The sequence below is a fragment of the Homo sapiens genome, chromosome 10 (genome assembly GCF_000001405.40).
Source record: "Homo sapiens chromosome 10, GRCh38.p14 Primary Assembly".
Lineage (NCBI taxonomy): Eukaryota > Metazoa > Chordata > Mammalia > Primates > Hominidae > Homo > Homo sapiens.
The window spans coordinates 46600215-46625522 of NC_000010.11; the positions used below are offsets into that span (position 1 = coordinate 46600215).

Below are 25308 nucleotides of genomic sequence, written 5' to 3' on the forward strand. Positions count from 1 at the left end.
CTCTTAAAGTTTTTGGTTTTATCTGTGAGCATGATTATTTTTATTTAGAATTATGTATTACTGTTATATGGTAATATAATTTTGTAAATTTGTTATGTGTAATTAATATATTACTAGCATATTTTTTATTTCCTGGGATTATTTTTCTTAATATATATTCTAGTTATTCAAAATAGTGACATTTTAATTTATTTAAGACTTCTTGTTACGATTACATACGTATTTTTATTCTCAAATCATATAGCCAGCATTTCTACTGCTGAACAAAATGCTTTGAAATATCAATAATACATATATCTGACTTTTATCTAGAATACATATGTCTGATCAGTAAAAAGACAAACAACCCAATAAGATAAATGTGCAGATGACTTGAGAGACACTTCACAAATGAAGGTATACAAATGGCCAATGAGCACATGAAAAGTTGTGCATCATTAGTCATCAGTGAAAGAGAAACCAAAACCAGGAGGTTCCACTTTACAGCCTCTAGAATGGCTACAGTGAAAATGACTGACATCTCAAATGTTGACAAGGATGTACAACAACTGGAAGCCTCCATTTTGGCTGCGGAGAGTGTAAAATTGCACAACTTTGGAGCACTGTTTGGCAGATTCTTCTCAAGTTAAATATATACCTATCCAATAAACTGACAATCTCAGTCCTAGCTATTTAAATCCCTGCCCCAACAAAAACTTATGTCCACAACAAGACTTGTTTTAAAAATGTTTTTAGCAGCTTTATTCATAATAGTTCGAAACTGGAAAGAACTCAAATGACCTTCAACAGGCGAATGGATAATATATTCACACATTGATATATTACTGAACAATAAAAAAGAATAAACTGCTGATTCACATAAAAATATGGATAAGCCTGAAAAACATTCTTAGGTTAAAAAAAGCCAGTTACAAAGGAATATATACTGTATGATTTCATTTACATGAAGTCCAAACAAAGATCAAACTAGTGTATAGTGATAGAAATCAGAATAGTGGTTGGCCATCATGGATGGAGGAGACTGACTGGAAGTGGGGATGAATGAAAATTCTAGGGTGATGGAAATGCTCCATATCTTGTTTGGGGTTCAGTTACATGAATGTATATATTTGTCAAAACTCTAAATTGTACACTTAAGACCTGTGCATTTAACTATACGTTTTCATGCAATTTTTTTTTAAATTCCAAGAAAAAGGATCTGATTGACCCAATTTGAGCCAGGCATCCTACTGCCTTGCATAATCAGTTTTTGCCAAGGAATCCAAACAAGCAGTATAGACGTGACCTAGAGAAGGGGCACCAGAATGGGCTTGGCTCCCACCCACAAAGTTCCAATATCTCCTACATGATGTCAGTTTTGGGGACCAAAACCATATCATCTTTTTCTATTATTTGGATGTGATCTTTTTATTTATGTATGTTTGTTGTTGGTTTTATTTTTTTAGAGACAGGGTCTCGCTTTGTCATCCAGGCTGGAGTGTAGTGGCAGATCATAGCTCACTGCAGCCTCAAACTCCCGGGCTCAAGTGATCTTCCTGCCTCAGCCTCCTGAGTAGTGTGTCACCATGCCTGGCTAATTTTTTTTTTTTTTTTTTTTTTAGTGTTTTATAGAGACAAGATCTTGCTATGTTGTCCAGGCTGGTCTCCAATTCCTGGCCTCAAGCAATCCTCCCATCTCAGGCTCCCAAGGTACAGGGATTACGGGAGTGAGCCACCACACCAGAACTGATCTTTCTAACACAGGGAAATTGTATTCTTTAGAAGTGGAGGAATATTTCCTAGTAATTTGATCAAGTAAAAATAATTATAATAAAGAAGGTAAAATCAAGCCCTAATTCCCCATGTAGGGGAATAATATCATTTTGGTAAGATTCTTCCAGACAGTATGATTAGGATGTTACATAAATCAAACTGTGCTATATACAGTATGCAGAGAAGGAAATTCCTTAGCTTGTCTAAAGTCTGATAGTGTGAAGAATTTGCTGACCTGCTCTCCATGCCTGTCTGAGCACGAGTGAAGTGAATCAGAGAGAGATTGCAAGATGGAGAAAGGAGGTACAGTTGGAGAGAGTGGAGGGGGCAGGAAAGACCAGACAGAGCTGCATCTCCCATGAAAACAACTGTGTACATAAGATAGAGTGAGTACATAGAGTACATAGAAGAGTGAGCTCTGAAAGAACTCTCACATGGACCCCAGAAAGAGGAGTACTCAACGCCTGCTGCACAGAAGGCATCAGCAGTTAAGTACTGGCTAGAAAAGCGGAGTCCATCAAAGGAGAGGACCACAGTGGTAGCTGCCTGGTAAGTACCACTGTCCCCTTTCCTTCTTTTCTCCCTCCCCAGCTCATGGAGGAGCTAGGCCTCAGGAAGCTGGGAAGGAATGGGGAGAATTCACCTCGGTGCCAGTTCACGCCCTCCCTCCAGCTCCAACAGCTGGAGTCAAAGGAAAGGAAGGGTGCACCTATCTCCTCCCCATTCCAAGTCCCTTTAGTGACTAGCTGGACATGCTCTGGAGAAGAGCAAAATGAGGTTAGAATTTAAACAATACCAGACTTTCTAAAACACAATGCCTGGGAAGTTATGTGAGGCATGTGAGACATGAGGGGATGGAAAAGGGATTCAACAGAGCATAGTTGAAATCAATGATTTAAAAAAACAAAAAAACTGGCTGATGGCTCATACCTGTAATCCAAGCTCTTTAGGAGGCTGAGGCAGGTGGATTGCTTGAGCCCAGGAGTTCCAGACCAGCCTGGGCAACATGGCAAAACTCCATCTCTACAAAAAATACAAAAATTAACCAGGTGTGGTGGCACATGCCTGTAGCCCCAGTTACCAAGGAGGCTGAGGTGGGAGGATAGCTTGAGCCTGAGAGGCAGAGGTTGCAGTGAGCTGAGATCATACCACTGCACTCCAGCCTGGGCAACAGAGTGAGACCCTGTATCAAAAAAAAAAAAATTTCCATAGTTAATACCCTTTAAATGTGGACTGCTAAATAAAGCTAAAGCTAAGGAACATTAAAGAATACTTTATTAATTGAAAAAGCATGCTCTTCTTAAATAGTAAGCCTTAACCACTGAAAACATGTCCAAATGATCCATAAATTCAAAGCAATCTCATTAAAAATATCAATGGGATAAAAATGATTCTAAACTTATCTCAAGAACAGATGGCATGCCCACTAGGATGGCTATAATCAAAAAGTCAGATAATAATAAAAAGTGCTGGTGAGGATGTGGAGAAATCAGAACTCCAATGCATTCTCATGGGAATGTAAAATAGTGCACCTGCATTAGAAAAGTTTGGCAGTTCCTCAAATGGTTAAACCATACAACCCAGCAATTCCACTCCTGGGTACATACCCAAGAGAAATGAAAATATACATCCACACAAAGACTTGCACACAAATGTTCATGATAGTATAATTAAAAATAACCAAAAAGTGGGAAAAACTCAGTTGGCCATCAACTGATGAATAGATACATAAAATGCGGTATATCCATACAATGGAATATTATTTGGCAATAAAAACAATGAAGTAGTGATACATGCTACATGTGTGAACCTTGAAAACACTATACCAAGTGAAAGAAATCAGTTACAAAGGACCACATATTGTATGATTCCATTCATGTGAAATGTCAGAATAGTGAAATCTATACAGCCACTAAGTAGAAGAGTGGTTACCTAGGGTTGGGGGAAAGGGGGTGGGTATGGAGGAGCGACTGTTAGCTCCTCTTAAGGAAGAGCTGTGGGGTGGTATAGTTAATGTAACTATGGATGATTCTTTTGGGGGTGATGAAATGTTCCAAAATTGAGTGTGCTGATGGTCACACACTCTGAATATACTAAAAAACACTGCAACATATACTCTTAATGGGGAATAAAAAAGAACAGATGGGCAAAGATGTCTGAGAAAAACAATTTTAATGAAGAAAAATATAGGGGTACTTTTCCTATCAGATGTAAAGTTATAATAATTCTAACTGTATGGTTCTGGCTCAGCAATAAATATAGAACAATGAAACAGACCAGAAAGTCCACAGGTAATGCTAGCAGGAATAATAATTTCATATTATAATAAAGATCACATCTATGTCACTGATGGGAAAGAAAGAAATCAATAGTGTTGGGACAACCAGCTGACCATTTTAGGAAAATGAATCAGTTAGATCCATTCATACCATGCACTAAATTTTAGATAATTAAAGATTTAAATACAAATATAACAATCATAAATGTTTCAAAAAATTTTTTGAAGAAAATGTGTATAATCTTATAGTAGAAAAGAAGCTATCTAGGCATGCCATAAAATCTAGAAACAATAAAGAAAAAGATTGATGGGTTGATCCACGTAAATATTTATGATTTCTGCATGTCAAACATATATAACAAGCTTGGGAAAAATGTCTGCAACACATGTTAAAAATTACTAACTTTATAAGGAGAACATACTAATTTAATAAAAGGCTTCTCCCACATAAAAATGGTCTAAGGTAAAATATGAAAAAGCAAACTGCAAATGACTGATAAGCATATGAAGCAAATGTACAATCACTTTAGCAATAAAATAATTCAATTAAGGCTGGGAACAGTGGTTCACACCTGTAGTCTCAGTACTTTGGGAGGCTGAGGCAGGCAGATCACTTGAGGCCAGAAGTTCAAGACTAGCCTGGCCAACATGGCAAAATCCTGTCTCTACTAAAAATACAAAAACTAGCTGGGCATGGTGGTGCACACCTGTAATCCCAGCTACTCAGGAGGCTGAGGCAGGAGAATCGCTTGAACCCAGGAGGCAGATGTTGCAGTGAGCCAAGATCGCACCACTGCACTCCAGCCAGGGTGACAGAGTGAAACTGTGTCTCAAAAAAAAAGAAAAAGAAAAAAGAAAAAGAAAACCTCAAAAAAAAAATTCCAATTAAAACAGATAACCTTTTTTAAACCTAACAACTAGTCTTTCACTTATGCCATTCAGTTTAGAGAGAGTGTGGAAAACTTCTGATAGGAATATATTTCAGGATAACCTTTCTGAGAACATTTTAAAAGTAGGATTCAAGAGCACACACAAATGATGGAATCCTGTGTAGTTGATATGATTTAATCTATGTTGATTGATTTGGAAAGACGTATATGGCAAATTGTGGAGTAAAAAAAGTACACACTAGATACTGGCCTATATGGAATGGTCCCATTTATGTAAAATTGTGTATGTGCATGCACAGATCTGTCTTCTATCAGGGTATCTGGAAAATGTTCAACAAAATAGTAACAATGGTTATCTGTTTTGTTTTGTTTTTTCAGAGACAGGGTCTTGCTCTATTGCCCAGGCTGGAGTACAGTGGTGCAATCATAGCTCACTGTAGCCTCTAACTCCTGGGCTCATGCCACACAATCCTCCTGCCTCAGCCTCCTGAGTAGCTGGGACTACAGGCATGTACCACCCTGCGTGGCTCTCGTTATCTGTTGATACTGGAATTTCTGCTTTTTTCCTGGTACAGATACATACATACAAGTACTTTGACCCCAAAATTCTATTTTCTTAGAATAAATTCCCAGAAGGAATGAAAGATGTGTGCAAAGACTATCAATGAGAATGTTGGCCAGACGTGGTAGTCTACACCTGTAATCCCAGCACTTTGGGAGGCTGAGGCAAAGGGGATCACTTGAGGCCAGGAGTTTAGACCAGCCTGGGCAACATGGCAAAAACATGTCTCTACAAAAAATACAAAAAGTATCCAGGTATGGAGGCATATGCCTGTAGTCCCAGCTACTCATAGGAGGCTGAGGCAGGAGGATCACTTGAGCCCAGGGAGGCTGAGGCTGCAGTGAGCCATGATCACACCACTACACTCCAACCTGGTTAACAGAATGTCTCTAAAAATAAAATAAAATAAGATGTAGATACATGCAGGAGGCTGAGGTGATGGATCACTTGAGCCCAGGAGTTTGAGTCCAGCCTGGGCAACATTGAAAGACTATATATTTTAAAGTAGACACATGTACAAAATCATACATGCATAAAACAACCGAAGGAATATCTATTAAAATGTTGGCAGCAATTAGCTTTGGTTGGTAGAATAACAGAAGGGTTACTTTTCTCACTTTCATTCATCCATATTTTCCAAAGTTTTAAAAAAAAAGAAACGGCCTGGTGCAGTGGCTCACGCCTATAGTCCTAGCACTTTGGGAGGCCAAGGCAAGAGGGTCGGTTGAGCCCAGGAGCTCAAGACCAGCCTGGGCAATGTAGGGAGACCCTGTCTCTACAAAAAATAAAAAATCAGTTGTTGTGGTCTGCACTTATAGTCCCAGCTACCAGGGAGGCTGAGGTGGAAGGATTGCTTGCGCCCAGGAGGTAGAGGCTACAGTGAGCCATAATTGTGCCACTGTACTCCAGCCTGGGTGACAGAGCAAGACTGTCTCTCAAAAAAGGCAAAACAAAACAAAACAAAAAACAAGGAACATGCGTTTTTGTTTAAAGGAAAACATTTTTTTTTTAAGTTTATAATTTTTTTTTTTTTTAAACAGAGTCTCACTCTGTCACCCAGGCTAGAGTGAACTGGCGTGATCTCAGCTCACTGCAAGCTCCACCTCCCAGGTTCAAGCAATTCTCCTGCCTCAGCCTCCCAAGTAGCTGGGATTACAGGTGTGCACCACCACGCCTGGCTAACTTTTGTATTTTTAGTAGAGATGAGGTTTCACCATGTTGGCCAGGCTGGTCTCAAACTCCTGACCTCAAGTGATCTGCCCGCCTCAGCCTCCCAGAGTGCTGGGATTATAGGCGTGAGCCACTGTGCCTGGCCTTAAGTTTATAATTTCTTAACATGGTGTTTAATTAAGCCTATTCACAAATATTCTTAAATAACACACCAAAATAATTTACTTATACTCTAATAGGAAAGATTCTACATTAGGATGCAGAATCTGAAGGAAACAATCTTCAATTTCTTGACTTAGACATTCTTGGTAACAGACCCACACAGTAATTAGGTAGCACTTATGTATTGTGATATTACCTGGGGTGTTTATAAGCTCATCCTTTAATAAGCTAGACTAAGTGCAGTAAATCAGCTCACTCTGCAACCAACCAGTCCCACCTCCTAACTGCTCCTGAACTGCAAAGACCAAAAGCCTCAGAGAAGACATATTTCCCAAACTTTCTTGCAGCTAAAGCTCTCAGCGTGAATCATGTTCCATCAATGAAACACACACACATGTGCAATATGGAAGATGAGTGAAATCCAGGCTATCTTCCTGAAGCTACTGTTCCTGGCAAGTGTAGCTGTGGGGACTGAGTTTTGGGCAGCAGCAAATAACTCCCAGCTTCCATGTGCTTGAGAGTCAGTTGCCGGGATGCCAGCAGCTGCATCCTCAGTCTAAGATTGCAGCCAATGATGATGTTTTCATGAATCCACCGTTCACGTGGCAGCCTCCTGGAGCTCAGACTGATGCCTGCTCCTCCAGCCTTCCAATACCTTTGCAAACACCTGAATTCCACATTAATCTCTCTCTGTTTAGAATACCCAGAGTGGCTTGTGTTTCCTGGGCTGAACCCTGCCTGGTAAGTCCATTTTAACAGGCTTCTAGATCTTTCCTCAAAAACTGTAAAGCTGATGATTGTTTTGAAAAAAATCACGATTTCTTAACAACGTGGAAGCAGAGAGGTCACCTTTAGCAAATGTATGCCTTAAGTGGGTAGAATTCACTTCTTAATAACAAATCAGGTTCAAGACCTCCAAAGACATAATGACAATTAATTGGCAAACCTCATCCCCTCTCACACATTTCTCCCCTGTTGACATTAAATCAAGGGCCAGAATTAAGCTACTGATAAAGACGAACACTTTATTCTAATTGTTCTATGATTCATGACCTGTGTTCCAACACCTAGAAACCCATCAGGATACAAATATATCACTTAAAATAAGGCACATAGGGATGGTTAGTTTTTCTGTCTCATTCTATATTGTTCTGAGAAATTACAGATATTTTCTTCTAAGAAAGGCATGATCAACTATTCAAGTTTTGCTGAATCTAAGGTAATGTCAGAATACTCTTAAACAACTTACGGCCTCAGATCCCAGTAGTTTAGAATTCTAGGGACGATGTAAATTCATAATCACTGTGAAAATGTTATCCTATCAAAACTCTGTAGAAACATCTATGCTTTTGCAATAACAGCGTAAAAGACCTCTTCTGATGAGAGAGAGAGAGAGGGAGAGGGAGAGAGAAAGAAAAAAGAAAGAAAGAAAGAAAGAAAGAAAGAAAGAGAGAGAGAGAAAAAGAAAGAAAAAGAAAAGAAAGAAAGAAAGAAAGAAAGAAAGAAAGAAAGAAAAATTAGGGAGTTGGGGTAACCAGGTAATTTAGGCCAATGGATTCAACTGTGCCTTAAGCTGGTACTACCCTCATTTATGTGAGTCAATCAAGTCCCCCTTTTTTGCTCAAGCTACTCTGAGTTGGGTTTTTATCACTTGCAACCAAGAGTCATGACTAACAAACCCATCCTACTGTTACCTCTTTTGCCTTGGCTCTGTATTCCACACAGATTTAATCCTGGCGCTGATATAATTTTGTTTAAATATTTCTTCACCAGCTTGCCTGTGAACTTACAGAAGGCAGACATTTGTGTCTTTGCATTTCCAGTGCCTAGCACATGGTAGACATTCAGCGAACGTCTGCAGGGTGGATCATGCACCCAATGTTGTCAACTCATTTGATGATCAGCCCCCTTTCCCCCAACCAAAAAAAAAAAAAAAGATGTAAAATGAAACAGCACAGATCTTACTAGTGGGGAGAAAGGTGAATGCCTCTAACGCTGTTAGAAAAAGGATACCTCTGGGGAAACTAAGTGACTAACAAATAAAAATGATTCTCTAAAAATAGGAGAGCTGTCCCTGCAAGCTGAACTAACAGAAGATGAAGAATGAGGTCTCCCTGAAATGCCCACCATAAGACTGCCAGATATGGGACTGCTGGATGACACTCTGGCTACCCCACTGAGTTTTATGAAAACATAACAGAATAAAGACACTTACTTGTCAACTCAGGTAAAGAATACACACAGAAGGTGTCTTAGTCCGTTCTGGGTGCTATAACAAAATAACAGACTGGGCAATTTATAAGTAACAGAAACTTATTTTTTACAGTTTGAAGGCTGGGATGATCAAGGTGCCAGAAAATTGAGAATCTAGTGAGGGCTTGCTCTCTGCTTCAAAGATGACACCTTCTGGCTGTATCCTGTGGCAGAAGGGGACAAAGAAGCTCCCTCGGGCCACTTTCGTAAGGGCACTGATCCCATTCACAAGGGCAGAGCCCTCATGATCTAATCACCTCCCAGATGCCCCACTTCTGAATGCCATCAGAGATGAGGTTTCAACGTAAGAATTTTGGGAGGACACATTCAGACCATAGCAGGAGCAATGGGCTGATCCTGATCCCACTTAAATAGCTCATAACTTCTGTAGATAGCTCAGATTCCTCAGGACTGGAGGAAACAGTTCCCAACCTAAATAAGGGCTCCTGGAAATATGTGTTAATTAATGAAATACATACCAACAACTGTGAAGAGATGTTGGTGTGATCTGTTGACTCACCTGAAATGGTTTAAAGATTTCTTCCCAATAGGATGTGAAGAGCCATCTCTTCCTGGGGATTATGTTCTGGTTGATGTAGGGATTAGGTCTCCACTTGAGGACGAAGTGGGGAAGGGCACACTTAAGCGAACAGCTCTCTTGGTTGGCCTATATTGACTGGGCAGATTTTATATCAGAATTCCAAATCTCTGCCTAGTGTGGTTATAGTTGAGAGAGCACAGATTAGAAGGCGTCAACTACAGGCTCAAGTTTCATCACCCATTCAACGAATCATTGAAGGGAGCCAATGATTTTGTTTGAATTCCAGTCTCTCTAGATACAAAATGGAGTCAATTCTTTCTGTACCCACCTTATTAGTTGCTAGACAAAACTTTGGCAATCATTTGCTCTAATTCCCTTATCTACCCCACAAAGAAACTCATCAGTTAAAGCCTTGTTCTTACCTTTCTTGGTCACAGAACCCTCTGAGGATTTGTTGAAAGCTATGGATCCTTCTCCACAGAAACATGCATTTGTGTGTGTGTGCTCCCACAAAGGCATTTTGGCATATTATTTTTGAAAGAATCACAAAACTCTTGTGGTTCGTTCTTAGGGAAGCCAAGTTAAAAAACAACAACCACCTCTGAACCAAAGGAATTTTTAAAAACATACACAGGGTAAAAGAAGCTTGTTCATGTCATCATGAATTTATTTTCAGGCAATATGACAATCTATTAACACTCAGCATACTCTGAGCTTACAGAATAAGTACCACGCCATACTTCCTCATTAATGACTATCATTTTACATGAGCTTCTTCCACAATCACAATGAGAGAACAGATTGCTACATGTTTGCTGGTAAATACATTCAGTAAGGCACTCAAATCCTAGACACGAACTAACCACAGAACGCTCTTCCCTGCTTTAATAAATTGAAACATGATCTCATTTCCTTCACTTTCAATACTTTTTATAGAAAGACACGCTTGTCTTGAACTTGTCTAAACATAGGTTTATATAAACTAATCCATTATCATTATAGTTATAATCAAGGAAATGATTTCACATTGACGGTTTTTTAGGTAGGGATAAGCGAAAGCACTGCAGCAGTTTCTGAAGGAGTGTCTTCTCTGTGGTTCCCCATACTTAGTACGATGCCTGGAATGTAGCAGGGACTAAATACAGTGAACAAATGGGCAAACCTTTAATTCCCAGGGATCTGCTACATATTGCCTTGACTGGTAGATCATTTCTCCAGAAGAAAGGAAGAAACCAAAAGACAAAAACAATCTTTTTAAACCTCACAGGATTTTCTTAGAAAAAAGTTTTAATTTATCTAGTGCAATTCTCTTTGTAAAATATATTTCATAAAAAATCCAAAGCAAAAGCCCTGTCATTCATTTATTTCAAAAGACAAATCATTTCAGTACTTCTTCCTTGAAATGCCTGCAATTTCTTCCTCTGGCCTCAGAGACGGGCATTGGCTCCATGCTTTACCATGTCAGGATAAAAATCCAGGAGGGAGAAATCTTGTTGTAATGGATAGCTGTTTTCATCTAACACAAAAAGGCTCTGAATCTTCAATACACAAGGTTCTGCGCTGACTGCCAACAAGGAGTGGAACAGGTCTGCCACAACCATCCCATAGGTGATCTCTGAGGAAGGAACTGCAGAAGACGAAAACACAGAGCTCTCAAGATCGCTGCTAGCTTGACAGGAGCACACACATTGAATGGTTTCATTGTTTCTTTTGGTTCCTCAAGTCTCAAACCCATTTTAAATTTCTCCTCCCGGCCAGTAGCGGTGGCTCACACCTGTAATCCCAGCACTCTGGGAGACGGAGGTGGCTGGATTACTTGAGGTCAGGAGTTCGAGACATGCCTGGCCAACACAGTAAAACCCTGTCTCTACTAAAAATACAAAAATTAGCCGGGAGTGGTGGCACATGCCTGTAATCCCAGCTACTCGGGAAGCTGAGGCAGGAGATTTGCTTGAACCCAGGAGGTAGAGGTTGCAATGAGCTGAGATTGTGCCACTGCACTCCAGCCTGGGCAACAGAGCAAGACTCTGCCTCTAAATAAATAAACAGGTAAGTAAACTACTCTTTCTATACCTTCTCTTTCTAGTTACAAGCTATTGAGGCACTCCAGAGTGACGGCATGTGATCCCCCTGACACAAGAAACAGGCCCAGATAACACACCGTTCAGACCGACAGCAGTTCTGGTTATGCTGCAGTACATCAGACGAGTGCTCTTATCCATCCACAGTTCTTATCACAGTTACTTATGCATATATTCATTTTTTATATAAAAGAATCTTGAATCGGTCACTTAAATATTGAATCTCAATAATAAAAAATACTAAAAGTATAGCTAAATGTGTTATTTTATTTTGCATTTGTCCTACACTCTTCCCCTCACTTTTTTAGGACATGTAATCAAGACATTTGGGAGGTTGTTCAATACCAGAATGACAGAGCACCATCGACCATGCTCAGACCGTACTAACCCCTTGACAATTATCACAGTCTTTCTTGGATGGGGACTACAGAGTCCTGGAGGACCAATGACATATTTTGGGGGGTATGATAATTCTCTACAATAACTTTTAAATTTTGTATTTTCACTGCAATAAACTAAAACATAACCAATATTAGTAATAGTCTGCATGGTCTGATGACCACTTTATGACCAATGACATTTTGACTTATGATCACAATCTAATTAATGCCAAGAAGTACAACTTTAATTGTCTCAAGAATGGACAAAACACTGAAGTATATGTGATATGAGAATTATGCTTCTCTAAGAGATAAAGACTAATTTACATTATGCAAAAAAGAAGAGATAGGCCGGACACGGCAGCTCACGCCTGTAATCCCAGCACTTTGGGAGACCGAGGCAGGCAGATCACCTGAGGTTGGGAGTTCAAGACCAGCCTGACTAACATAGAGAAACCCCATATCTACTAAAAATACAAAATTAGCCGGGCATGGTGGCACAAGCCTGTAATCCCAGCTACTTGGGAAACTGAGGCAGGAGACTTGCTTGAATCCAGGAGGCAGAGGTTATGGTGAACTGAGATCGCGCCACAGCACTCCAGTCTAGGCAACAAGAGCAAAACTCCATCTCAAAAAAAAAAAGAAGAGATAACACTGAAAATATATAAGTAACATTAAGAAAAGGAATGAAAATAGCCAAAAGAATAAAAATGAAATAAAGAAAATGGGGGAAAAAACGGAGAGAGGCTTCTAATTAAGATGTAGAAAGCTGGAAAAAGTGGCTCCTACCCTAACAGTTACTGGAAAAAACTGAATAAATATAAAATCATCATTTTCTTGAATACACATGAGAACCAAGGTTGTAAAACAGCCAAAAAGACTGAAACATAAGGAGACAGGTGCCTCCAGGGAGATGGAACAGGAGCACAGGTTCCCTTGGGGCAGGCCTTGGGAAGAAGACAGGTCCTCCATACAGGCAGGAAAGAAGAATGTGATTAATTTTTATTAATAAATTAATTGCAAAAAGCCAATGAACTGCCAGTGTCAGCAACATAAGGAACATCTGCATCCTCATAGGCTCTTCCACATAGTACGTCTCACCTCCACCAGGTGCTCATAAGACTGGGGGCAGGGCAAGACATCAGAGAAAGCTTCCAACTACAAAACACAAAGCACCATCTGGCCTCCCCTTTAAGGAACAAAAGCCTTCAATTGCTGGAGGAGGGACACCAAATCCTGTTGCCCCAGGGTACAGGTGAGGAACCAGTACAGATGGGGGAAAGAAAAAAGAAAAAAAAAAACCTCCATCCTGGGGGAGGACTGAAAAACCACCCTGGGTCAAGACCATTAGTGGTCCCCTACTGCTGGGGCAGGGCCAGGACCACACAAGACCCACTAAAGGCACAAGACAGAGCTCAGCTGCCATGCCACATAAGGGACAGGGCTACCAAGAAAGCGCCATGTGCAACATCCGTATAAGACTGGGGCTGGACCAGAATCAAAGAGGAACAACCCTGCTCCCACCCACCAGGTTAGGATGCACCAAATAACAACCAACAAAAGCTTGTGCAACTTGGGGAGGTGCAAGAATATGGAAAGAAACTTTCTCTGAGGCCCAGGTGCAGAGTGGAGGGCTATGCTGATGGTGGAGCAGGAATACTGGGGAACCACTTCCCACCATAAGCACAAGATAATTTGAAACCAGTGGTGACCTGAAGGTAACCAGAGAAACAACAAAACCTGAATCCAACTCAACTTATGACAAGGCTGACCATCCTGCTCACCCCTCACCTCCAGTAAAGGACCAGAAGAGGCATGCCTGTTTCCAGGTACAACTACTATTTACCTCAGTTTGTACTGTTCTACTTAATATATGCAACGTTCAGCATTCAACCCAAAATTACTAGACACCCCCAACTAAAAAAAAACACGAAAAACAATCTACTATTGAAAGATAAAGCAATCACAGAACCAGATTAGCTCATCAGCTTAGAGGATCTGAGGCTAATGAGAACAGGAATGGAGTTTGAATACCTGACAAATATATTATCTTTGCTTTATTCTTAGCCACTGACAACTAAGACATCATGGTTGAAGATCTTGCAAATCCATTCCACTGACACTGGACTATCTTCATATATATTATGTCATACACTCATTGACTTCATTCTTATAAAACTAGAGTTAAGTAAAATAGTTTTTGCTTACCAACAGGAAATGTAGGTTAAGAAGAAATTAGGTGCCTCCCACTGTTCATGTACTAACAGGTGTAAAGCAAGTCAACCTTCTAACTTACATAGGCTTATATTTCACTTAAGCTAAATTATCCTTCTGTTTTCATATGGACAGAAAAGCTCTTAATTTAAAGTAGAGTGCTCTTTCTGTTCCGATATACCATTTATACTCCTGAATAAAACAACTTCTTGATGGCACACTGATATATTGCCTATCACTCTGTTGAGGCAGTGTGCAGAAATGTTGAGAAGAATCTTCTCTATCAGTTTTGATTCTACACGGATGTAAACATTATGTCTTCCATCAACGGCAGTCATTAACGCTGGCCTACAGAAGAGTAAACAACACACGACCTTCAAAAAGATTTTCAAATAAAAGAAATGTTTAAATGAAAAATAATTCCAAAAAGCACTTGGTTTTTAATGCAGGATTAATTTTAATGCTTAAAACAACTCTAGGATGTTCTGTGACATCCTAGAAGGAAAAAAAGGTTTTTTTTTCCCCAAGAGCTTCAAATGATAAATTACTACATTTTATTTATTCTATATCCATTTTTAAATTTCAGATACTAATATAAAAATATATTAAACTGTTTTATAAATTGTTTTTAGAAATGAAAATAAAAATAATAATCACATATTTCACAATCACAATTTCAAGTTACTTTTTTCAACTGAATTCTTTCCTATCAGAAATAAACTGTTTTGCATATCAATAAAACTGGATTAACAATTTTCAGTGCATCCTACATCTTAATGCTATGTAGCTGATAAAAAGAATGAAGAACATTTGCAAGTGCTATTAGGGAAGGAGCACCAGGATAGACTCTAGGGAACAACAATATGAACAATATTCTTCTGTCCACATGCTTCTAAAGAAAGGGATACACATGTGCTGGGATGAACATAATAAATCACTGGAAGGACATACAAAAAACCTTCTCACCAGCATGGAAGCAGCACTGGTGGGAGAGGGTTGGATGGTGAAGGAGACTTTCACTCTTTGTTTTATAACCTCCTATGTAGTGTGCATTTTAACCATGGCATGTGGTACCTATTTTATAACTACATTGATTTTTAAAAAATAAATTGAGAACAGAATTCAGAAACAGGCTCATTAGCGGGGGAATTTAATGTAACAGAGCTAAAACATAACTACTGATTTTCCCCCTAAAAACCCACTTCCCCCTTTATTCACACGATGACTCTATGTTCCTTCCTCTTTTCACTCTACACTCTTTCCTCAGCCTCTCTCTCCCTCCATTATTTATTTCAACAAATACAAACTGAGTATCTATCATGGACTGTGGTAAGTGCTGGGTACCCACTAGTGAAAAAGACAAATCTGGTTCCGTCACTCAAGGAACGTAAAACTGTAGAGGGATAGGAAGAAATTGGGCATGCGCGGTGGCTCATGCCTGTAATCCCAGCGCTTTGGGATGCCAAGGTGAGGAGGACTGCTTGAGGCCAGGAGTTTGAGACCAGCCTGGGCAACACAACGAGACCTCATCTCTACAAAAAGAAGAAGAAAGAAAATAAGCTTTTCAACAGTGGTGCCAAGATGACTAAACAGGGATGGAACAGTCTTTTCAAAAATTCACGCTGGGACAACTAGATATCCACATGCCAAAAAATAAAATTATACCCCTTCCTTATCCCATATACAAAACTTAACTCAAAGTAGATAATAAACCTAAATGTAGGAGGTAAAACTACTAAACTCTTAGAAGAAAATACGGGAGCAAATCTCCATAACCTTGGCTTAGAAATGACACCTTTCTTAGATATGACCCGAAAGCACATGCAACAAAAAGAAAAACGGAATAAGAAGTACTGGCAAGAATATGGGGAAATTACAACCCTCATATTGCTGATGAGAATGTAAAATTGTGCAGCAATTTTGGAAAACAGCCTGGTAGTTCCTCAAAAGGTTAAACAGACAGTTACCATATGACCCAGCAATTCCACCACTCCTAGATATATACCCAAGAGAAATGAACACACATATCCACACAAAAACTTGTACACAAATGTTCACAGCAGCATCATTCATAATAGCCAAAGAGTAGAAACAACCCAATTGTCCATCAACTGATGAATGGATAAATAAAATGTGGTATGTGCATACAATAAAATATTATTTTGCAATAAAAAGGAATGAAGTAGTGATACATGCTACAACATGGATGGACCTTGAAAACATCATGCTAAGTGAAGCCAGTCACAAAAGATCACATATTATATAATATTTATATAAAATATCTAGAACAGGCAAATCTATAGAGACAGAAAGCAGATTCGTAGTTGCCATGGGTTGAGGGGCATGGGGAATGGAGAGTGACTGCTAATGAGTATGAGGCTTTGTAAAGGGCTGGGTAATGAAAATGTCCTAACTGGTTGTGGTGATAGCTACACAGCCCTTGGAATATACTACCGCCATTGAATTGTACATTTCAGAAGATTAATTTGATGGTATATGAATTTTAACTTCAGTAAAAATGTTTTTTAGAAAAGACAGTATGCAAATACAAATTACAGTAAGCACACCCAGGCTACTATAACAGAAAATAAAGAAGGGTGGTTAGGAGAGGCCTCTCTGATAAAGCAGCATTTAATCTAAGACATGAAGAAACCAGCCTTGTGGAGTCAGAGGGAAGACATTCGAGAACATCCTAAGGAGAAAAATCAAAATGTCTGAAGAACTGAAAGAAGGCCACGTGGCTAGAGTGCTGGACAACAGGGGAGTGGCAGCAGATGAGACTGCAGAGGAAACAAGCATAAGGAGATGACTGATGGGTGAAGCAAAGGGTAATCACACTGCCAACGGGTGGAGAATAAAGGGGAGGAGGCAAGGCCAGGAGGAGCCCCACCAAGAGACTGCTGGTGTGCTGGTTTGCGCAACAGGTAGTAGGGACTCAGATGAGGCCTGAGTGATTCCAGACCAGCAGGCACTGACTTTCCATTTTGGTTTCACAGTAATTGAGGTTCAGCTAGGGGAAGGTAAACAGGGATGCCACATGCCCCGCAGCATGTGGGATATGGTACATAATGAGAAACTGTCCTGAGAAAAATGTCAACAATGCCCCTGCTGGGATACACTGGACTAAGATGTTAGCAGTGGAGATGGAAAAAAGTGGATGAATTTGTGATATAGTTCTGAATGAAAATTCCTAGGACTTGCTAATAGATTAGATAGGGGAGGTAGGGAAGAGAAAATGATGCAACGATTGTGCCCAGGTTTCCAGCCTAAATAATTGGGTAGATGGTGTGCCATTTTCCAGAAAGTATAAAAACGAAGAGAACTAGATTTGAGTGTGGTTTTAGGAAAAACAAGAGTCTATTGTGGGTATGTTTAAATGTGAGATGGACATCAAGCAAAGAATTTGATACCTGACTACTGGAGCCTGGAGGAGAAAATCAGGGTGAAGATGTTAAGTACAAATACGAAAACAGCTGTGATCATCCAGGCAGAATGTACAGAAAGAATAAGAGGAAGGACACAGACGAGAGCATTTAAAGAGGGGGTAGAAAAGGCTGAGAAAGAAGGGCCTGAGAGACAGGTTAGAAAGCAAGGAGGAGGCTGTTTCAAGAAGGAGGAAGTGGACTGACATGCTGAATATAACTGAGAGCAGTTAGAGCGAGGAAAGAAGTATCCATGCCTCAGGCAACATCAAAAGTGTAACTTTGACAAAAGCAGCTTCTGCAGCATGGTAGGAGTAGAATGGAATAACTGAAGTGAAACTGAAGACATAATAGGGGAGAGAGAGTATATTTACAACTCTTTAACAAAGTTTGGCTGGGTATAAAACAGAATAGAAAAACGAAGGGATAAGAGGGAGATGTAATGTTAATGGATGATTTTGTTTGTTTTTTAATAAGAGAAATATGGGACTGTCTTTATAGGCTAGTAAGAATAATCCATTATGAGAGGTAATCACTGAAGATTAAGAAGGAAAAACAAAACAGGGTGCAGAAACCAAGGAAAAGTTCAATCACCACAGATAACCTTATAAGCCTAGCCCAGACTTCTCTTGCAAATTGCATTTCTTTACATCTAACCACTTTCCAACTTGTTACCTCTCAGGAACTCAAGCTCAATATGATCAAGATTTCTCCCAAGGTTACTTGTTTTAATAAATAATCTTATTGTTCACCCAACTGTCAATGATTTGCAATGTACCTGTGCTCTCTCTTTACCTACCAATCACTACATCTTGCAAACTATTTTCTGACCATTCTCAAATCTGTCCACTTCTTTTTATTCCTACCGCTTCCTCTCTAGTCAAGCCACCATCATCTCCTCTCCAAAATAAGGCAACAGCCTCTTACCGCTTCTCTGCACTAGCTTCATTCTAATCCACTCTCCAACGCACAGCTAAACTCACTTCTGATGAACAGAATTTGGTAGAAGTGATGCCACATGACTTCTGAGTCTAGGTCACAAAAAGGCTGGCTTCCACCTGGAACTCTCTTTCTTGCCTTTCCTGCTCTGAGGAAATGAGCTGCCACTTTGTGAGAACATTCAGGCAGCCCGTGGAGACACCCAAGTGAAGAGGAACTCAACTTGCCAGCCATATGAATGAGCCACTTTGGAAATGAATCCTCCAGCCCCAGTCAAGCCTTCAGATGACTGCAGCCCCAGCCTACACCTTGACTACAACCTCTTGAGAGACCCAAACATTTCCTAGTGCTGCCTAAATAGGAGCCTTAATTGTGGTTTGACCTGCTGGGGTTTTTTGCTTCCAGTACAGAAAAATAAATGTATTTCTTGTATTCCAAAAATGTAAATCTGAATATTCTGTAGAAACATTGTTAAAAATGGTATTTGAGTTTTATGATAGCTTGAAGAGCAGGAACTATGCTATCTACATGTTAATTTAATAAATGTCTGTGGCCTCGTATGAGACTCCATTGCAATATCTAATGTTGCTTCCATTGGAAAATCAGCTCCAAGTTACAACCAATGTAAAATATGATCAACCCACTCATAGTTTGGGACTGTTGTGCCACACAAATGTTCATTAAGTGTTTCTTAAATGGACTACCAAGCTTCTTGGGCACAATAAGTCTACTTAGATCAACTAGTATAACATCCACAGTACACATGTGATATGTGAACATACGTGGATTCCTAATAAATATTTGACTGAGTCTTAGAAAAATAATCAATGAGAGTTTTCTCTTATTCAGTTTGCTGATTGATTTATGTAGATGATTTTGGAGTCACATACTTGATAACTTGAAGGGAGTTTGTTAATTTCAATATTTTCTTTCCAAGGAAACCACATAATCTGGACTCTAATAATTTAAAGGCTTTTAGGCTGGGCTTGGTGGCTCACACCTGTAATTCCAGCACTTTGGGAGGCTGAGACGGGTGGATCACCTGAGGTCAGGAGTTCGAGACCAGCCTGACCAACATGGAGAAACCCTGTCTCTATAAAAATACAAAATTAGCCAGGCGTGGTGGCACATGCCTGTAATCCCAGCTACTTGGGAGGCTGAGACAGAAGAATCACTTGAACCTGGGAGGCAGAGGTTGCGATGAGCTGAGATCGCACCAGTGCACTCCAGCCTGGGCAACAAGAGCGAAACTCTGTCTCAAAAAAATAAAAAAAAAGGCTTTTAAATAAATAAAAAATAATAATTCTTGCCTTAACATGACCATTCAACATTCTAGTAAGACAACAAACTAGCACTACATCTTTAATGTGGTATAGTTTAGGAAGAGATCTTAAATACCCCATACTAGTTATGCCATAATCAGGTGATACTGATCTGTGAAGTCCTTCTCTTGAACAGTCATTTTGTAAACTAAAGATTCAAAGGCCCTCCTCCCCATAAGGAATAGTATTGAGCAACATTTTTGTCCAATAAATGCTTATGTTGAATAGAAACATTTGGAATGATATAAATAAGTCACCTATACATACTTTTGAGGGGCCTTAACTATTAATAAATCAATGTTGTTTGTTACATACCATGCATTTTTTGTTTTGATTTTGAGACAGGGTCTCACTCTGTTGCACAAGCTAGAGTGCAGTGGTGCAAACATAGCTCACTGTAACAATCGATCTCCTGGGCTCAAACAATCCTCCCGCCTCAGCCTCCCAAGTAGCTGGGACTACAGGCCTATGTCACCATGCCCAGCTTTTTTTTTTTTTTTTTGGTAGAGATGGGGTTTCCCTGTGTTTCCCAGGCTGGTCTTGAACCCCTGGGCTCCAGCGATCCCCCCACCACAGCCTCCCAAAGTGCTGGGATTACAGGCATGAGCCACCACACCCAGCCTACCATACATCTTAATTCAATCTTCTTTTCCACAAAAGCAACTTTCACAGTAATAGCAAAATTCATTCACTTATTTATAACAAACATAATATCTGTAAAGAGAAATAAGGTTTACAAATTAAGCTTCTATAACTTTTCTTGAAGTATGCCATGATAACATGTGGAATATATCTGAATTTAGTTTTTAGATACCGCAATATTTAGAAATAATCATAAGGAGCATAAAACACTGAGTGCTATTTTGTAAACACATGTAATTTATAAGGTAAAGAGAAAAATGTCTGAGCTTTTGACTACCTATTATTCAAAAAACAATGTGTTTTTCACTGAGCTGATTAGCAGTTTTACCATATAACATTTATTTGCTAGCTTTAATTTCTAAGGTAAAGGTGGGAAAACAGCTTAAATGTCTTACTAGCTTCCACAACAACTCAGAGGTGACATCATATGGTACTTTTAGCCTTTAAATTCTAATTATATGTTAAGGTGGGAAAATGAGTTATTTATGAGCATTTAGATTTTGGTTAAAAAGTAAACCAAGGAAAATGTTTCTTTGGTACAGCTGTTTGAAGACAATAAAATCTCCCAATTACTGCTTTAAGAAATTCCTATCTTTAAGAAATTCCTATAACGATTCCTGGGTAATTTTTGCTACCATAAATAGCTATCTATCACTCAGGGAAAATTTTGTTCTCTTCGACTAGCTCTAGTTAATTCTTTTTAGAAAGTAAGAGTTTACAGACTAGTTTTTCCAGATCTATAATAATTATTTTCCATCAAATTGGCTTGCTTAGTTGCCTTACCTATAATATATTTTCTTCATAGTAAATGGCAAGCAGCTAAAACATTGTTTGTAGATCCTGTTCTCATCTGTTTCTAGTTCCAATCCACATTTTGCACAGCCAGTATATATGATGTTGGGAAGAGAAGAAAAAATACTCTTCAGAGAACTGTGAGCATTTAGAGCTATCTTCTGAGCTGCTGTAAGAGGAAATGCCAGCTCTGAAATCTGGGCTTTAATTAGAACCACTCCTACAAACAACAAACAGATATGTTATAAATTATTGGGCCAAAATTATAACTTTAATTTACAAACATGGCTAATTTTATAGTTGATTTACAGTCACTTGTAGTAAAAGGATACACTGAGGTCTTGTTCTTCGTCTTCTTTACTATTTTCCTAGAATCTAAGGGCAGGGAGGTCTGGCTGCAACTGAGAGCAGGTTTACTTGGCTAATTTGGCTGAACATGTGATGTTTCCTTCCTTCCCCATCCTCTGGAATCAGGCAAAATAAGTTCAATACCTCCTTTAGAAGAAATCCCTTCGAATACTTGAAACTAGCTAACATGCCCTCTCTCCTTGCCCTGTCTTCTTTTAAACTGATCATGGTGAAAAGCCAGATAGGGGCCGGGCACAGTGGCTCACACCTGTAATCCCAGCACTTTGGGAGGCCGACGCGGGCAGATCACGAGGTCAGGAGATCGAGACCATCCTGGCTAACATGGTGAAACCCTGTCTCTACTAAAAATACAAAAAATTAGCCGGGCGCGGTGGCTGGCGCCTGTAGTCTCAGCTACTCGGGAGGCTGAGGCAGGAGAATGGCTTGAACCCAGGAGGCAGAGCTTATAGTGAGCCAAGATCACACCACTGCACACCGGCCTGGGCGAAAGAGCGAGACTCCGTCTCAAAAAAAAAAAAAAAAAAAAGCCAAATAGGAGGTGAACTTTTCTTCTTCTCTCTACGTAAAAATATCAATAGCCTGTTCTCTTTTAAACTTTTTTCCAACTTTCCGCTCACCATTATCATCTATATACTCTGGCTGTGGGTTATAAAAAGTTCTCATTTATTAATCGTTTCTCAGGTGACTCACAAGAAACCTCAAGCATATTCATAATTCACTGCTAATGGCTCATCCATTCACCAGTAAACAAATACTGAAAGTCTACTATCTCCCAGACATTATTTTTTCCTAATTTACTTTTGTCTTACTGTGTACTGGTGAGGTCTATGAGTTTTCTTGAGCATTATTCTCCCTTTCTCCATAGTCAATTTAAAGGCTTCTTTAAGCCTTAAGCCTTCAAATTTGTTCTTCTTCATCCACTTAGAAGTAAGAACACTCCAGGTCAAGAACTAATCACTCTAGTCTCCTACTGTTTTCTGGTTATCTCTTTCAGAGTCCAGTTAATGATGAGTCTTCTGTTCTTAACTTCATTTGCTTTAGTCTTTCAATGCCCAAAGACGGTTTCATCATCTCTTCCAATTGTGTCACATATCCCTACATGAGTTAGCAGGAGTGCGTAGCGATCGAATATGTAACAAACTGTAGAAGATTCAATACCACATCTTTCCAAAGACATGTTAAATCACTACAAAATTATTATTTTTTGTTGTTTTGAGACAGTCTCACTCTGTCGTCCAGGCTAGAGTGCAGTGGTGCAATCTTGACTCACTGCAGTCTCAACCTCCCTGGGCACAAGTGATCCTCCCACCTCAGCTTCCTGAGTAGCTGGGACTACAGGCACACACCACCACACCTGGCTAATTTTTGTATTTTTTTGTGGAGATGGGGATTTGCCATGTTGACCAGGCTGGTCTCCAACTCCTGGGCTCAAGTGATCCACTCTTCTTGGCCTCCCAGAATGCTGGGATTACAGGCTTGAGCCAATGTGTCTGGCCTAAAAAAATATGTAAAAAAAAAATTTCGATTTTTATTTTAGATTCAGAGGGTAGATGTGCAGGTTTGTTACATGGGCATATCATCACCCAAGTAGTCTCCTGTAGTAGGCAGAGTACCCAACAGTTAGTTTTTCAACCCTTGCTCTCCTCCCTCCACTCAAAAAGTCTTTTTTTTTTTTTTTTTTTTGAGACAGAGTATTGCTCTGTCACCCAGTCTGCACTGCAGTGGTGCAATCTCGGCTCACTGCAACCTCTGCCTCCTGCGTTCAAGCAATTTTCCTGCCTCAGCCTCCCAAGTAGCTGGGACTACAGGCACCCGACATCATGCCTGGCTAAGTTTTGTATTTTTAGTAGAGGCAGGGTTTCACCACGTTGGCCAGGCTGGTCTCAAACTCCTGACCTCAAATGATCCACCCACCTCGGCCTCCCAAAGTGCTGGAATTATAGGCATGAGCCACCCTGCCCAGCCTAAAAAATTCGTAATAATTCAATAATTTTAAAAGAATGTTCACATAATCCTATCATTTTGTAAATTTACACAACTCTTGAAAAGAATTAAAAGGTCACGCTGAATGTGGACTTTGCTTTCAAGGGGGTCACTCCGGCTGAGCACTGAAATTCTGCTGGCGGTAAGATGAGGTACTGGGTAAGCGTCTTCATTTCTTTACAAGGACTCAGGCCTAGCCTCATCCCCCTCTGGCTTTTGTTGAGCAAGCAGACCCTTCTAGGAAATGCTCCCATGCTGATCTCTCTTTCTCCTTTTATTTAACTATAAAATAGGTTAGGGAAAAGTTGCTTGTGTTTTCATATTCTCTCTCCATTTTTGTCTTAAAAACACATACACTATGACAGAAACTATGAATTCAGCCCTCATAGCTGAACATAAAGAGAATGAAAAAGGCTAAACAGGCCTCTGTGAACAAAGCCTCTGAAGGACTGATTTTAATGGCACAGTTTTGGCATGGCTTGCTAATGAGGAGCACACCTCCAGGACTTCCAAGAACATGCACAATTCCTGGCTGCGTCCTCAAACAAGTGGGGCTATAGCCTGAGAATCTTTCATCATCAGCGTGGTGGCCTCCTATTTTGTTGTTGTCCATGATGTTATTTATTTTTATTTTTAAACCTAATTCTAGACTTCAATCCCAGCAGATAACTGTTTTGTGTAAGCAGTAAATAACAGAGTTGACTTCTCCATGGCACCAAACTAAACGTCTCTGCAAAGTAAGGTAGCCCCTCAACTGTGTCTGGCATTCCTTCCTGTGGTGACCACCTCTATATGTCTGTGAAGTTGGAGAAGCAGAGCACGGGAGGGGCACATAAATATAAAACTGGCTTAGGAACTTACATGATGCTATAACATTACCAAGATTTTACCAGTTAGTATAAATCTAGAGTCTTTTATGACCATAGGCAACTTCCATTTTTGAAAATAGTATGAAATTTTTATAGTATAAAAGCTTATAAATTTTCTATCATCTGTGTTTACCTTCCAGAAATATTATTAATTTAAACTATCTGCTGGTATTAGTAAATGTTTCAGTGTAGAACTAAGAATAAGGAGTTCTTCTCTGAGAATGAAATCTCTGTATTCAATTAAAAGTTGGGTTTTTTGAGAGGTATTGTCTTTGTTTTCTGCCTGTATTCTCCTTAGCATAGTTTTATGATATAACAATGCTAACCTTCAATCATATATTGGAAAACATATTTACACATATATGTGAATTAACCCAACTAGTAACATTTTAATCTGGCATTTGGCCAAGATAAAGTAAGGATCTGAATTTCTGCTCCCACTTGTCATATAATAAAAAATAGGTATTTGCTCTTTGTCCCTGGTTCCTAGCACATAGTTCCTAAAACTACTGGAATCTAGTTCAGATATTTGCAAAGATTTATATTTCACTTTTATATAGACTTATACATTTTTACCACAAGTGGTAGCCTTTTTGCTTATATTAAAACTAGCAGTGGGCTGGGTGTGGTGGCTCATGCCTGTAATTCCAGCACTTTGGGAGTCCAAGGCAAGAGGATCACTTGAGT

The 25308-nt window shown here is 39.6% G+C and overlaps 1 long non-coding RNA gene and 1 pseudogene across 2 annotated transcripts in view, besides 1 other annotated feature; one reads left to right on the forward strand and one right to left on the reverse strand.

The window, feature by feature from the left end:
* The first annotated feature begins 1986 nt into the window (after positions 1–1986).
* LOC105378289 (uncharacterized) lies at positions 1987–11940 on the forward strand. Its single transcript, NR_188197.1, has 4 exons — positions 1987–2301; positions 7162–7555; positions 8878–9041; positions 11695–11940. It is a non-coding gene; the product is annotated as an uncharacterized LOC105378289 (long non-coding RNA).
* The window catches only part of SHLD2P1 (shieldin complex subunit 2 pseudogene 1), a 41505-nt pseudogene continuing 26454 nt past the window's right edge, over positions 10258–25308 (reverse strand). The window contains exons 5-7 of the transcript NR_027632.1: positions 21392–21620; positions 14516–14631; positions 10258–11235 (exon numbers count right to left, since the gene is read on the reverse strand). The product of NR_027632.1 is annotated as a shieldin complex subunit 2 pseudogene 1 (transcript). The remainder of the gene's footprint in view (positions 11236–14515; positions 14632–21391; positions 21621–25308) is intronic.
* Positions 12979–13822: an enhancer, noted in NCBI's record as "OCT4-NANOG hESC enhancer chr10:46935581-46936424 (GRCh37/hg19 assembly coordinates)". NCBI's record gives its function as "activates a minimal SCP1, AML or CMV promoter by ChIP-STARR-seq in naive H9 embryonic stem cells {active_cell/tissue: H9 hESC(naive)}" and the evidence as "EXISTENCE:reporter gene assay evidence [ECO:0000049][PMID:30033119]".